This window comes from Homo sapiens, chromosome 16 (genome assembly GCF_000001405.40).
Source record: "Homo sapiens chromosome 16, GRCh38.p14 Primary Assembly".
Classification (NCBI taxonomy): Eukaryota; Metazoa; Chordata; class Mammalia; order Primates; family Hominidae; genus Homo; species Homo sapiens.
In genome coordinates, this window is record NC_000016.10 from 82855001 (window position 1) to 82870216 (window position 15216).

Here is a 15216-nt window from a genome sequence, read left to right on the forward strand (position 1 = left end):
TTGACTAATTCTTACCTCACTAAGTCACCCATGGCCCAGGAGGGTACTGTGTACCTTTATGTTACAAATCATTTAACTTTAATTTTGACTGGTAGGTGAAGTGTCCCAAGAATTTGTAAAGATAAAACTGTGCCTTTGGGGCTTCTCCTACTGCTCCCCTCTTCCCTAAGAGTCAGCAGCTGGAAAAGGTTTATTTATTTTTTTTATTTTGTAACTGTAGAGGAATCCTGAATGGGCCCTGCAAAGTAATCTCAGAGATTGAGCCACACATAGACAAAGATGGAGAACACAGCTCACCTGCAGAGTGCTGTTTCTCATCACTAACTGTGGTTTCTCTCAGTCCTGACTTTTTATGCTGAGGATTCTGGGAGAAATTTCACCTTCTTTACTTCCTACAGGATATCCAGTTTCCTGGTCTGGGAGCTGAGAGCAGAATTAGCCAATTGGAAGGTTAACGCATAATTGTAGGCACTGGGTGTATGGAGGAGACCCTTGACCATTTGCTATTTAACTGAATTAATGTTGGCCAGTTATAGATTTTCTGTTTGCAAAATTGCCAGCAGATTTTTCTGACTCCTGGATCTGCATCCTGTGTATGTGCCACTTGGGATGCCAGCATTTTGATTGCTTCCAGAGCGATCTAACCAGAGCCTGCTCTCAAGACAAGGGAATCCATGATTCACAAGCGGAACCGTACAGATGCCAGACCACAGCGTTCTTTTCACTTTGATTTGAGGGAGATGATGTTGGTCAGGGTGATGACTCCCCCATTTCAATTTCTCTGATGTTGTTCAGGCCAGCCACACGGTGAACCTCCTGAGATTGATTCTTGCTCCCTTCTTTGGGGTTCAGTGCATTTCAGAGGGCTGGTATTTAGAGAGAAGCCCTGGTTCCACAGCTTCCAACCTTTTGACACTGCTTTGAGTTCTCTGGTGGGGATGATAATGAATTTTCTTCAACTGTCTGTGTGCAGTGGTTAGGATTTTGAGGTCTGATATTGAAGTTTTGTTTTCTAAGAAACACACAGAGTCGAGGATTTGAGTGCAAGTAATTTGAGTGATGGCAGAAATTGGTTTAAGAAAAATACTAGCTGGGGCCGGGCACGGTGGCTCACACCTGTAATCCCAGCACTTTGGGAGGCCGAGGTGGGTGGATCACGAGGTCAGCAGATCGAGACCATCCTGGCGAACACTGTGAAACCCCGTCTCTACTAAAAATAGAAAAAATTAGCCGGGTATGGTGGCGGGCGCCTGTAGTCCCACTTACTCGGGAGGCTGAGGCGGGAGAATGGCGTCAAGCTGGGGGCGGAGCTTGCAGTGAGCAGAGATCATGCCACTGCACTCCAGCCTGGGCAACAGAGAGAGACTCCATCTCAAAAAAAAAAAAAAAGAAAAGAAAAGAAAAGAAAAGAAAAATACTAGCTGGGTGCAGTGGCTCACGCCTGTAGTCTTGGCACTTTGGGAAGTCGAGGTGGGTGGATCACTTAAGCTCAGGAGTTTGAGAGCAGCCTGTGCAACATAGTGAAACCTCCTCAGTACAAAAAATAGAAAAATTAGCTGGGCTTGGTGACGAGTGCCTGTAGTCTCAGCTACTTGGGAGGCTGAGGTGGGAGGATCGCTTGAGCCCAGGAGGTTGGGTCTGCAGTGAGCCACAGTTGCACTCCAGCCTGGGCAACATGGCAAGACTCGGTCTCAAAAAAAAAAAAAAAAAAAAAAAAAAAAGGAAACTTTAAAAGTCAAAAAAAATAGAAAAAATACCAATAGGGAATGAGGAAATAAGTCAGGGAAGAGAAGGCAGGTAATGAATGTGAGTTATCAAGCTAGATTCTCTGGTGGACTTTGGCACTCAATCCCAGGTGGAAACTGGGAGACAAAATGCGTATCTCCAAGTGATCTCACCAGAGGGGTGAGGGAATTGGGATATTTACATACCATTCCCCATCAGTTATTGGTTAAGGACCACTCCCAGGATGTTAATTTCCAAACACTCTCTTCTGGCACTATGCTCAGATAAAATACCCTTCCACAAGTTTTAGAGACATATCTCGTACAAAGAAGAAAAAATGCAAAGTCCTGCACGTTGACACAGAAGGTCTGAGGGGAATGGGTAGGACTCTGACAGAGTTCCTTTGAGGACACTTGAACCTAGATTCAGATGCTGGCTTCACCCATTCCAACTGTATGATCTTGGGCAAGCTTGTTAACCTTTCTAGAATTTCGAGTTCGTCTTCTATAAAATATACCTTATAACATTACACATTTCATAGGCCTGCTGTGGAGATGATGCATATGGTGAGTTTAGCACATTAATGGCCAAATACTAAGGGCTCAAAAATGGTAGCTTTCATTTGTTAAGTGTTACGGAGCCTCTTCTCTGTCCCAGTATGTGTGGTAGGTGCTCAGTAGAACCAGTGGTTGGTTGTTGGGGGGAGGTAATACCTGTTTTTATGGCCTTATAGCCTTTGCGTACTAAACCTTAAGACCATTTCTTATTTCACTAAGTCACACCTTGCCCAGGAGAGAATCGTATACATCTCATACATTATGTTCCAAATCACGTAACCTAAATTTTTGACCGCTGGATGAAGTGTCTTAAGCATCTGCAAAGACAGAACTGTGCCTTTGAAAGCAATTGTAAATTTTAAGTTTTATAGTAGCCAAGTTTGCAAAAGGAATAAGAAACTGGTGAAATTAATTTTAATAACATATATTTAATTTCATATGTAAAATATTGTCATTTCAACATGTAATTAATATGAAATTATTGACTATTTTACATTCTTTTCCTTATTTAGACATTGAAATCCAGTGTGTATTTTATACTTACAACATGTCAGTTTCAGACCTATGACTGTTAAAGTACTCAGTAGCCACCGGTGGTTCATGGTCACCATATTGGGCCACAGTGAAGGCTTAACAGGTCCTGGATTCCTTTTAGAAGTAAATTCCAACAGAATAGTTCCATTTTCTCTTTCCTCCTCTTCATAGATGACAATGCTTCTTTGCTTGTATAAAAATGAAGTTGGTTTTAGCTTAGGCATCATGGAAAATTGACAGTTTCTGTAATAAAATTTCACACATGGAAACCATGGTGAGAATCTTAGCAGGTGTAAAAATCTGACGAAGTTATTTCTTTAACTGCAATTTAATGGAAACTGCAGCAGCTGTTCCATTTGCGTATTCTCCAAATCTCAGTGCCAAAAAGAATTGTTGGCAGCCACTGGAGAAGTTTCAACTTACCTCTTCATTTGGGAAATGAAATCAAAACCTCAGCTTGTTTCTAAAAGTTGCGGATTTGGCGAAAGTTAGCAGGGCAAACACATAAGCCGCTATTAAAATATTGATGGCTTTGGTTTTCTCAGGTGCTGCTGCTAACATCTGCAGAAGATTTGGACTGCACTCCTGGATTTCAGCAGAAAGTGTTCCATATCAATCAGCCAGCTGAATTCATTGAGGACCAGTCAATTCTAAACTGTAAGCAATGTCACTCAAAGATGCTTTTAGACTCTTCTCATATTTGAATTTACTAATGTTTATGACTGTGTCTCAGGATGTGGTATTTCCTAAACTAAGTGTTTTCTGATTATTTTTCTTATGTCACTGCTTGACCCAAAGTGGAAATTCTTGAATGAGGGCCTGGCCAACTTAGAGGTTAATAGAGTGATATGCATCTCTTTTTAGTATTTTATCATCAGTGGGTATCTCCATACTGCTGTCAGAAAAGGGGGCTGTCAGCCTCCAATGAGAGTTGTACACTGTGCAAAGGAAATGAAATTCATTTCCCCTGGGCAGATCCCCAAAATCAAAATCATTGCCTTCTCGCAGATTGCTGTTCTACCTGTAGTTTCTCATACATAGCATTAGATCAAAATAATGGTGAGAGTATGACATTGGCTTCTGGGAATTTTTAGACACAGACATCAAAAACTCTTATTCTTAAGGCTAATAAGATGGGTTTTAGAAAGATTCAAAACCTCTACTGATTATTCTATGGATTAAGCTCAACTCATCCTGAATTCCAATTGATTTATTTAAAATATGCATCTTTCATATCTGTGGTGATGATCTCTTTTTGTTTTTAATGTCAATATTATATTGCTTTATCTTTAAGAAGTGTTAGGGTACATTGCTAAATGCATAACAAGTACAGTTTTAGTGCAATAGAATTTAAAATTGGTGGTAGACAAATAGCTATTTCATTGTAGGCTCTTGAGTACCTTGCTTAACAACTGGAAATGAAGAATATGGAAACAACTGATCTAAACTGATCAGATGCAGTCGGGTGTGATGGCTCATGCCTGTAATCTCACCACTTTGGGAGGCCGAGGAGGATGGATGGCTTGAGGCCAGAAGTTCAAGACCAGTCTGGGCAACCTGGTGAAACCCCATCTCTACTAAAGTTACAAAACTTAGCTGGGCATGGTGGCATATGCCTATAGTCCCAGCTACGCGGGAGGCTGCGGCAGAAGAATCGCTTTAACCCAGGAGGTGGAGGCTGCAGTGAGCCGAGATCATACCATTGCACTCCAACCTGGGTGACAGAGCGAGACTGTGTCTCAAAAAAGAAAAAAAAAAAAGAAGAAGAAGAAAATTAAAATAAGCTGATCATACGCTCCAAGGTCTTTTCAAGGAAGGTGATTCCACATTGGCTCTTATGGTCTCAGGTTTACGTTCCACGCTAGCTAAGTTCCTTTAGTCCTATGCTATGTGGCTGACAAGTTTAAAGGAAAGACAAGAAAAAAAAAAAAAAGCACACTTGACTGGATTATTCTGTGAGGCTGGGACACACTCTAAGAGTCGAAAGGAACACAATAATGAAGATGCACTGTTGAGCATCAAGGGAGCTGTCCAAGGTGAAGCCCGTGCACCTCCCGATGAAATGACGCCAATGAAATCATTTCAATAATTAGTCTGTAATGACAAGGTGCAGGGCTGGCACAATAAGTGAATTCCAATATGTGATTTCCTGCTCATTTGATCTCTGAGTGTGACTCCTGGGTCAGGCCATTAGGAACCCTCCTTTGTCTTTTCATTTTTGTATTTATCAGAATCAATATATTTCAAACAGAACTTGATTTGTGAGAACCATTTTTCTGGCTCTCCTCTCCTCTCTTCCTCTGTCTTCCTTTTATTTTTTTTCCAAGTGATTATCCCAAATGGCATCTATGTTAACATGCTTGGAAATGCGAAGCGACCCTGAGTATGGAAATTAATAGAGTTGGTATGCAAAGTAGACCTATAAATGTGATTGCTTCTGTAATCTTCACGATAGCAAACAGTTTTTAATTCGCTGCTGAGAAGCTGGAAACAATCATACTTTGGGGGGATCTTTTTAATTTAAAGTAAGCCATACTGTACATTGCAGTATCACAGTTGTGTGTGTGTGTGTGGGGGGGGGGGCGGCGGTGTGCGTGTGTGCTTTAATCCCCTAAGTAATTAAGTGGGTTATGGTTGTTGCTTCTGGGTAAGCTAGTAAATGCTAAATGGGACTAGGTTCATTATCAATGATAACACATTCAGAAAAAGTCAGTGATATGAGAATTGAGGACACTTAAATTTTTATGCTTGTATATGAGTTGTTGGGTCAGCAAAATTTGATTAGCCCCTCTTGGTGAAACCGTATGTCCATGTATATTACTAAGGTAAAAAAAAAAAATCCAAAGCAGATCTGGTTAGGTACTTTCAAGTTCATCTCAAAGCAATGAACATATTATGAGTATAGAGCCTGCAGATAAGGTTAATGGTGCCTAAATGAGGAAGAAAATTGTCATAGACTTGAGAATGCCTATTGAAAATAGTTTAGGAAACTCTGGATTTCTAGAAGTAGTAGCAGTGCTTTGCTTTATTCCACTTGCAAGTAGCGGTTCAATTGAATAAACTTTTATACCTAACCAACCAATATTTTAAGCCAGTCTCACTCTCCCCTCTCTCTCATTCTCAGTTTATTTTGCGTATTTCTTATAATGCAAAACAAAAACCTTCTGTCTCTGAAAAACGTGATTAATCAAGAAACCAATGAGTGAAGTGTGCTATCAAATTGAAGACTCTACTGGCACAAGGCTAAATCTGAATGAAAAACGAAAAGAACCAAACAGAACCAGAAAATGTTAAATGCATAGATTCCATTTCCTGAATCATTGTATACCAAAGATCCAGGAAATGGTTAGGGATGTTTTAGTCTCATATAAATATAGGTCAGTGTTGTACACAGTGAGAAAACTAGATTAGTAGCATCATCTTGTGCCCTACTCATGACATTTGCACTTCATATTTTTCCTTTATCTTTGCAATATTTAAGAGCTTTGGTTACCAATCATTGTGAACTTTTGTGTTGCAGGGGGTGTAAACACAGCATAATCAATCAATTGATGTCTACACTCTTCACTTTTCTTTAAAGTTGTCTGAAAGTGCTGTCTCTTTGCCTGACAGACATAGTATATCTACCCCTACCCTAGACTTGTGTTCATCCAATTGTGTGTTCAGCTTTTAGCAGGTTATGGGGAATGTTTATTCTGTGGATGGCTTCCTGCTATCTTTGTTCAGACAGTAATATTTCCTTTTATCCTTTTTCATCTTCCTCCTCAATTTTCAATGACTTATCTTTTTCTACTTTAACTGTTACTAATGGTCACCTCCACTCCTTTTATTTCCCTAATATTTTATTCACTGTTATCTCTGATACATCTTTCTCTCAGTTGTTCTGAAGCCTTTTATTTGCTTCACATCTGAATCACTCTTTATTCTACTCTCCTTTCCACTAACTGGACTTGCTTTTGTCTTAAAAACGCCATTTTTCAACAATATGCTGGGACCAAAACATAGCATTCAGCTATTTCTTCTAACGTAACCAGTGGGCTCTTCACTGCATCTTTCAGAGAGTGATGCAAAGCTCCCAACTCAGGGAAACTTGGGTAAAACTTCCTTGGCTTCATCTCAGTCTTGAAAGTTTATCTGGGAAAATGTGATTCTTCCCATTTGTCAATGAAAAATACAAGAAGAAAGGAGAAGTCAGCTTAGAAGGCAACCACTCAGAAAGGAGGCATCCATTTAAGGTCTTTGAATTCTGAAAGGAATCTGTGAAAAGTTTGTGGGAGGTGTTTTCTGGAGGCCTGGCACCCATATCTCCCTCAAATTGCCCAGCATGGTAGATCTTGCTTTTCCCCAAACACGACAATTGTGTGATCTGGGAGCTGACATCTTAGTACCACCAGAATTGGACAGCAACCCTGGTTACATCATGACACCCAGAACAGAAGATCCCCAGTCTTAGAAGAATAGCTGTCTTGGGCAACTGACCAGCCACCCAGCTGGGATGGGAAGATCCCAAGTGATAAAATCTGACTATCCTATGTTCTGCAAAATTATAAAACAGGATAGTCTGCTTTGATACCATCAGCTCAGACAGATTTTTTCCAGCAAATGGAAAAATGTGTGGTCATTGAGCTCATTAGGAGAAACCATACCCTTGACCTCCAGCCTCTATTAGCAGGGGATGAGTGCAGTCTTTGGTGTCCAGAAAGAAGATCCTCATTGGCCACATAGCCACCATTAGAACTGTACTTTTTTTTCTTACCCTTGTTCATTCTTTATGGGTCATTCCTCTTAGGCCACCCACATGCAAACATAGACACATAGGTAGAGACAGAAATCACAGCATCTGAATTTACCTACAATACAACTTGCATCACATGTTTAGGAAAGAACCTGCATTAACAAGAGCAGGCTAGGCTAGGCCATGGTGTCAAACAACTCTAGTGACTTAACACAGTGAAAGTTTATTTCTCACTCAGATCATGCAGATGCAGTCGGGCTGCTCTCCTGGGTAACTCTCCTCCCAGTGGTTGCCCTCCATGCAAGAACCTGATGGCCGAGGCTACTTCCAACTTGGTCCTACCATCTTGTAGCTTCCAGCTTTTATCACTGAGCTGGCAGACAGGGGAATAAGAAAGACTATGAGGAGGTCACTGCAGGTGCTTAAATACCTCAGCCCCAAAGTGGCATGTATCATTTCTGCTCATATTCTAAGATCTAATCATGTCGCCAACCTAACTGCAAAGGAGTCTGGCAAACGTAGAAGAACACATGGGTATCGATGCAGGATCACAGTCTCTACAAAGATCCTAACAAAATGATGTCGCCTATATCAGAAAGAGACATAAATAGAGACAGAAATGGACCACAAAGGAGCCAGCTGTCTTGGAGTAACCAAGGCCTACATAGGATGAAGTTAGTCAGTTTAAGCAGGAGAGCAAGGTCGTGCACCTGCGACTATGTCCTGCTTTCCTTAGTAGAGAAATATTCCCACTGAACAGAATTAGCTTCTTAGAAACACTATAAGCTCCTCTCCCTGTGCCATCTTAGAAACACTAGGGGAGGGACAGCACCTACTCATGGACTCCAGTTGCTTCCTCCAATTGGTTACAATACTGTGGTTAAGATCACACAGTTTTAAACTCATATCGACTAGAATTCAAATGTGCACACAGTCATCTATTAGCTCTGTGGCCATGAGTGAGTTATTCACATCCTCCAAGTTTGAATTATCTCATCTCCAAAAGAAGATTAATGGTAGTCCCTGCTTCTAGAGCTAATGCCTCAACTGATGGGAAACATGCTTAGAACATAGTCACAAATAAATGGAAGCTGCTATTATTATTATTATTGTCCTTATAATTTCTGCTGTTACTATTATTATCATTACTTTCATTCATAGACCTCAGCTAGATCCACTTTTCTTATAATGGCCATCTGAAATTGGCTTTAAGAAGAAAAATCATGTTGGCCATTAAAAATACAAACAGGTGAAGAAGCGACTAAAGCAGTGATTGTAGGGCATTTGAACTTCATGGACCAGTAATTTTTTTAAATCCTAGATTGATGAGAGTGTATTTTAAAAAATTGGTAAGACTTGGTATGAATTTTTTAAAAGTAAGTAAATGAAGGGAGGGGAAAACACTACCGCCATTTACTTTTGCCAGGCTTTCCTTTTAAAAGGTCACTTGGCATCAAAAATAAACATAAAAGAAGTAAAGACTAGTTACAGAAGAAAAGTCAGTTCTTTGAGTAAATTTTGCTTTGTGAAAAATGCACCAAATATTCTTATTTACTTCGCTTTTGTGGAAACCATTGATCTAAGGGATTAGGTTGATGTCACCCTTTTTGCTCTTCACTTTTCTGATACTTTTCTGAAGTTTTAATATGTCGTTGTTTCTGAAGAGGCAGGGGTATTTCTTAGGAGACATTTTCATGAAGGGACTCCTGTCCATGTTGACAAAAGAGAGTGAGTGTTTCTAGATAATGTGACAATCATATGCATGTTAGGAGGTGTATTAGCCTATTTTCATACTTCTATAAAGAACTACCTGAGATGGGGTAATTTATACAGAAAAGAGGTTTAATTGACTCACAATTCAGCATGGCTGAGGGGTGGCCTCGGGAAGCTTACAATCATGGCAGAAGGTGAAGAGGAAGCAAGGCACCTTCTTCAGAAGGTGGCAGGAAGGAGAAGTGCTGAGATAAGGGGAGGAGCCCCTTATAAAACCATCATTTCTCACGAGAACTCACTCACTATAATGAGAACAGCATAGAGAAAACTGCCCCCGTAATTCAGTTACCTCCAGCTGGTCACCCCCTTGAAACGTGAGGATTATGGGAATCATGGGGATTACAATTCAAGATGAGATCTGAGTTGTGACACAGAGCCAGACCATGTTATTCCGCCCCTGGTTCCTCCCAAATCTCATGTCCCTTTCACATTTGAAAACTAATCACACATTCTCAACAGTTCCCGAAAGTCTTAATTCATTCTGGCATTAACCCAAAGGTCCAAGTCCAAAGTCTCAACTGAGACAAGGCAAGTCCCTTCCACCTAGAGGCCTGTAAAATCAAGTTAGCTGCTTCCTGGATACAATGGAGGTACGGGCATTGGGTAAATACACTCACTCCAAATGGGAAAAATTGGCCAAAACGAAGGGTCTACAGGCCCCACGCAAGTCCAAAATCCAGCAGGGCAGATAAATCTTAAAGCTCTGAAATGATCTTCTTTGACTCTGTGTCTCACATACAGGTCACCCTGATGCAAGAGGTGGGTTCTCACAGTCTTGGGCAGTTCCACCCCCATGGCTTTGTGGGGTACAGCCCCACTCCCAGCTGCTTTCACAGGCTGGCGTTGAGTGTCTGTAGCTTTTCCGGGAGGACAGTGCAAGCTGTCAATGGATCTACCATTCTGGGGTCTGGAGGGTGGTGGCTGTCTCTCACAGCTTCACTAGGCTGTGCCCCAGTGGGGACTCTGTGTGGGGATTTCAACCCCACATTTCCCTTCTGCACTGCCTTAGCAGAAATTCTCCATGAGGGCTCTGCCTCTGCAACAAACTTTTGCGTGGACATCCAGGTGTTTCCATTAAGCCTCTGAAATCTAGGCAGAAGTTCCCACACCTCAATTCTTGACTTCCGTGCACCTGCAGGCCCAACACCACGTGTAATATGCCTAGGCTTGGGGCTTGCACCCTCTGAAACAATAGCCTGAACTGTATTTTGGCCCCTTTTAGCCATGGCCAAAATGCAGGGCTCCAAGTCCTGAGACGGCACAAAGCAGCAAGGCCCTGGGTCTGGCCCATGAGACCATTTTTTCCTCCTAGGCCTCAGGGCCTGTGATGGGAAGGGCTGCCTTGAAGACCTCTGAGATGCCCTGGAGACATCTCCCTCTTACCCACCAGCCCTGTTACACCATTGACTTGGCGATTAACATTTGGCTCCTTTTTATTTCTGCAAATTTCTGTAGCTGGCTTGAATTTCTCCCCAGAAAATGTTTTTTTCTTTTCTATTTCATCTTCAGGCTGCAAATTTTCCAAACTTTTATGCTGTGCTTCCCTTTTAAATAAAAATTCCAGTTTCAAATCTTCTCTTTGTGAATACGTAAAGCTGAATGCTTTTAAGAGCACCCATGTCATGCTTGAACACTTTGCTGCTTAGAAATTTCTTCTGCCAGATACCCTAAATCACCTCTCTCAAGTTCAAAATTCTGCAGATCACTAGGGCAGGGGCAAAATGCCGCCAGTCTCTTTGCTAAAGTACAGCAGGAATTACCTTTATTCCAGTTCCCAGCAAGTTCCTCATCACCCTCTGAGACCACATCAGCCTGGACTTCATCGTACATATTACTATCAGCATTTTGGTCAAAGCCATTTTACAAGTCTCTGGGAAGTTCCAAACTTTCCCACATCTTCCTGTCTTCCTCTGAGCCCTCTAAACTGTTCCAGCCCCTGCCTGTTACACATTTCCAAATTTGCTTCCTCATTTTTGGGTATCCTTATAGCAGCACCCCACTCTACTGGTACCAATTTACTGTATTAGTCTGTTTTCTTTTCTTTTTCTTCTTCTTTTTTTTTTTTTTTTTTTTTTTTTTTTTGAGATGGAGTCTCACTTTGTCGCCCAGGCTGGAGTGCAGTGGCACGATCTCAGCTCACTGCAACCTCTGCCTCCCGGGTTCAAGCGATTCTCCTGCCTCAGCTTCCTGAGTAGCTGGGACTACAGGCATGAGCCACCATGCCTGGCTAATTTTTTGTAGTTTTAGTACAAAGAGGGTTTAACCATGCTGGCCAGACTGGTCTCGTATTAGTCTGTTTTCATACTGCTGTAAAGAACTGCCTGAGACTGGGTAGTTTATAAAGATAAGAGGTTCAATTGACTCACAGTTCAGCATGCCTGGGGAGGCCTTAGAAAACTTACAATCATGGTGGAAGGCAGAGAGAAAGCAAGGCACCTTCTTCACAAGGAGGCAGGAAGGAGAAGTGCCGAGATAAGGGGGAAGAGCCCTTTATAAAACCATCAGTTCTCGTGAGAACTCACTATCACGAGAGCAGCATAGAGGAAACCACCTCCATGATTCAATGACCTCCCCCGATCTCTCCCTTGACATGTGGGGATTATGGGTATGACAGTTCAAGATGAGATTTGGGTGGGGCCACAAAGCCTAACCATATTAGGAACATATGTTGGCATGCAAGCTTCTGTGAGTGTGGACAAGTATGGCCTCCCTGGCCTTGATAACTGACAGTTACTGTGTGCTCCCTAGTGTGTTGAGGGCCACCTCGAACCTCACAACAGCTCTTAGGGGAAAGGTACTCTCATCTGCCCATTTTACAGGTGAGGACATTTAAGGCTGAGCTAGGTGAAACAATGAACCTGAGATCATACTGCTTATAATTGGTGGTGTCAAAATTTGAACCCAGGATTTTAGGGCCCTGGTTTTCATCCATAGTTCTGTGGCCTAGTGTCTCTTAGTTTTTTTGATGTTGGTGGTGATACATCAAGGAAATTTGCCGGTGTGTTTTCCCATCACTTTTATCAACCAGGGTGAGATAGAGAGAACTGCTGCTGCTGCGTATTTGTTGCTTTTCATAGCCAAGCTCATCCTGTCTCTGTATTATAGAAGAATTAGCTTTTTCTATTCTGGATGGACCCAGGGCCAGATTGTCCATGACCCTTAACTCTCAGCTTTCCACCCTCTCTGTTAGTTTCTTTCACCAAGACGTTACTTGGTCATGCCACCATGACACTGACCTTGGTTAGCAGCCAGGTCCTCCATGGAGTGTGTGGAATCACATTAATCATATTTGTACTTAACATACATGAGTCATGGCTTTTGAGGGTGCTTTTAATTGACTATAAATCAAGCAAGGAACTTGAAAAATGAAGGCAATTAATGAAAAAGCATGTGAGAGGTGTTTTGCATCCTAAGGGAGGAAATACACTGTCAGTGAATTTAATGTCACAACAAAGGCTCTTTTGACCCTGCTGAAAAGATTTCATGTGGATAGTAATAAATGGATGAACTTTGCAGCCTCACAGGTGGAGAATTGCCTGTTTCCTGAGTTCAAGCTGACTTAGGCTTTTATCTGTCTACATTCTCTATCTTGAGAACTTCCTAGATTCTTTTACTTTTGCTTTCATTTCTTGTGATTTTTAAAAATAACAATGATAATTCTTTTCCCATTTTCTGGTCATTCTTCACACATCCTTTACATATTTTATACAAGCTTGTATTTACTTTCAGGTTGGGAGACTGATTAATTGATTAGTGAGGTTATGTAACGTCCCCTGAACTGCAGTCTGGACAGAGCTGGACAAGGTTGGGGTTTCAAGTAGTATATTTGTTTTAATCTGTTGCGATGTGCCAAGGAAAATTATTCTGGTATTGCCTAATTCACTCTATCATTATGAAGTTGACGATACATCGGGTCAGAATGTGGACTCCTATTTACATTAATAAGAGTTTTTCCTATATTTAAACAGAGCTCAGTAGAAATGTTATGCTTTCACAGGTTTTCCCTTCCCTCCTACCAATCCATTTGTAACAATCTAGTAGTAAGTCAATTAATAATGATTAGAAACCTCATAAATGCATTATCCTACCTAACAAATGTGAAATACTATAATAAAATGACGTAAGATAAGAAATGAACATATGTACACATCAAAGACAGATGTAACAAAATGTTTAGAGATCCTTCCATTGGACTTGGGTCCTAACTTGTTCTTTAAAGAATGGGAAACACAAGAAGTAACAGAGTGAGAAGGACTTCTCAGACGAGGAACATGAACACAGGTGGAGTTCCCTTGGCCTAAGTTTTCTTATCAGTAGAATGGAAGAGATAAATAGACCAGAGGTATCACACTGTCAGCCTTTGGGCTAAATTTGCCTCACAGATACGTCCTGTTTGGCTGCTTAGTGTGAGAATTTGAGGTGTTTGATAAAAGGAATTTGTCATTAACATTTAGAATTTCACCTTTAGAAATTCCCAATTTCTGGGTAGTGTTGCGTCTTCAGAGCAGACAGAGATGCCACAGTTCAGCTGCCTGGGTTCAAATCTAAGGCCGATCCTTTACCAACTAAGTAACTTTGGCAAGTTGGGAAAAACAAAACAAAAAAACTCACTGTGGTTTTATTTTCTCATCTGGAAAATTAATATTATAATGGCAGCAATCTCAACAGTCTGTTTTGAGGGCTAAATATTAATCTATGTGTGATAACTGCTACATTGTGTAATTATTATCATTATTATTTGAGATGGAGTCTCTCCCTGTTACCCAGGCTGGAGTGCAGTGGCGCAATCTCAACTCACTGCAACCTCTGCCTCCTGGGTTCAAGCTATTCTCATGCCTCAGCCTTCCGAGTAGCTGGGACTACAGAAGTGCACCACCACGCCTGGCTAATTTTTGTAATTTTAATAGAGCAAAGTTTTGCCATGTTGGCCAGGCTGGTCTTGAACTCCTGGCCTCAAACGATCGTCCTGATTCGACCTCCCAAAGGACTGGGTTAGGTGTGAACCACTGCGCTCAGCGGGAATTTTTTTTTTTTTTCTTTTTAAACACAAGTCAAGTGTAGTAGTGAGAAGTGCGGAAGGGGTAGAACAAGGAGTTTGATATGTAACTTTATCCTTATTAAAATACCAATGAAATTATTTACAGAAAAAGAAAAAAAATTCTAAAATTTATACAGAACCCCAAAAGACCCAGAACAGCAGAAGCCATCTTGAGCAAAAAGAACAAAATTAGAGTTATCACGTTATCTGACTTACAGTTGTACTACAAAGCTATAGTAACTAAAACAGTGTGATACTGGCATAAAAACAGATGCATAGACCAATGGGACAGAATAGCTAACCCAGAAATCTATGCATTTACAGTGAACTCATTTTTGACAAAGGTGCCAAGAACATACCTTGGGGAAAGGACAGTCTTTTCAATAAATGCTGCTGGGAAAACTGGATATCCATATGCAGAAGAATGATAATAGAGCCCTATCTCTTGCCATATACAAAAAGCAAATCAAAATGAATTAAAGACTTAAATCTAAGAACTGAAACTCTGAAACGACTACATGAAAACATTGGGGGAAATACTCCAGGACATTGGTCTTGGCAAAGATTTCTTAAGACCTGAGAAGCATGGGAAACTGAAACAAAAATGGACAAATGGGATCGTACCAAGTTAAAAACTTCCTGCATAGCAAAGGAAACAATCAAAATCAAGAGACAACCCACAGAATGGGAGAAAATATTTGAGAACCACCCGTTTAATGAGGGATTAATAGCCAGAATATATAAGGAAGTCAAACAACTCAATAGAAAAAAAAATCTCATTAAAAATGGGCGAAAGATATGAATTGACGTTTCTCAAAGGAAGACAAATGGGTAACAGGTATATGAAAAAATGT

The 15216-nt window shown here is 41.0% G+C and overlaps 1 protein-coding gene across 8 annotated transcripts in view; it reads left to right on the forward strand.

The window, feature by feature from the left end:
• Nucleotides 1-15216, forward strand: part of CDH13 (cadherin 13) — a 1173672-nt gene that overhangs the window by 228032 nt on the left and 930424 nt on the right. For all 8 annotated transcript variants that reach the window (NM_001220488.2, NM_001257.5, NM_001220489.2 and 5 more), the window contains one exon: nt 3362-3473. In NM_001220488.2, coding sequence (NP_001207417.1) covers nt 3362-3473 — 112 coding nt within the window. The remainder of the gene's footprint in view (nt 1-3361; nt 3474-15216) is intronic.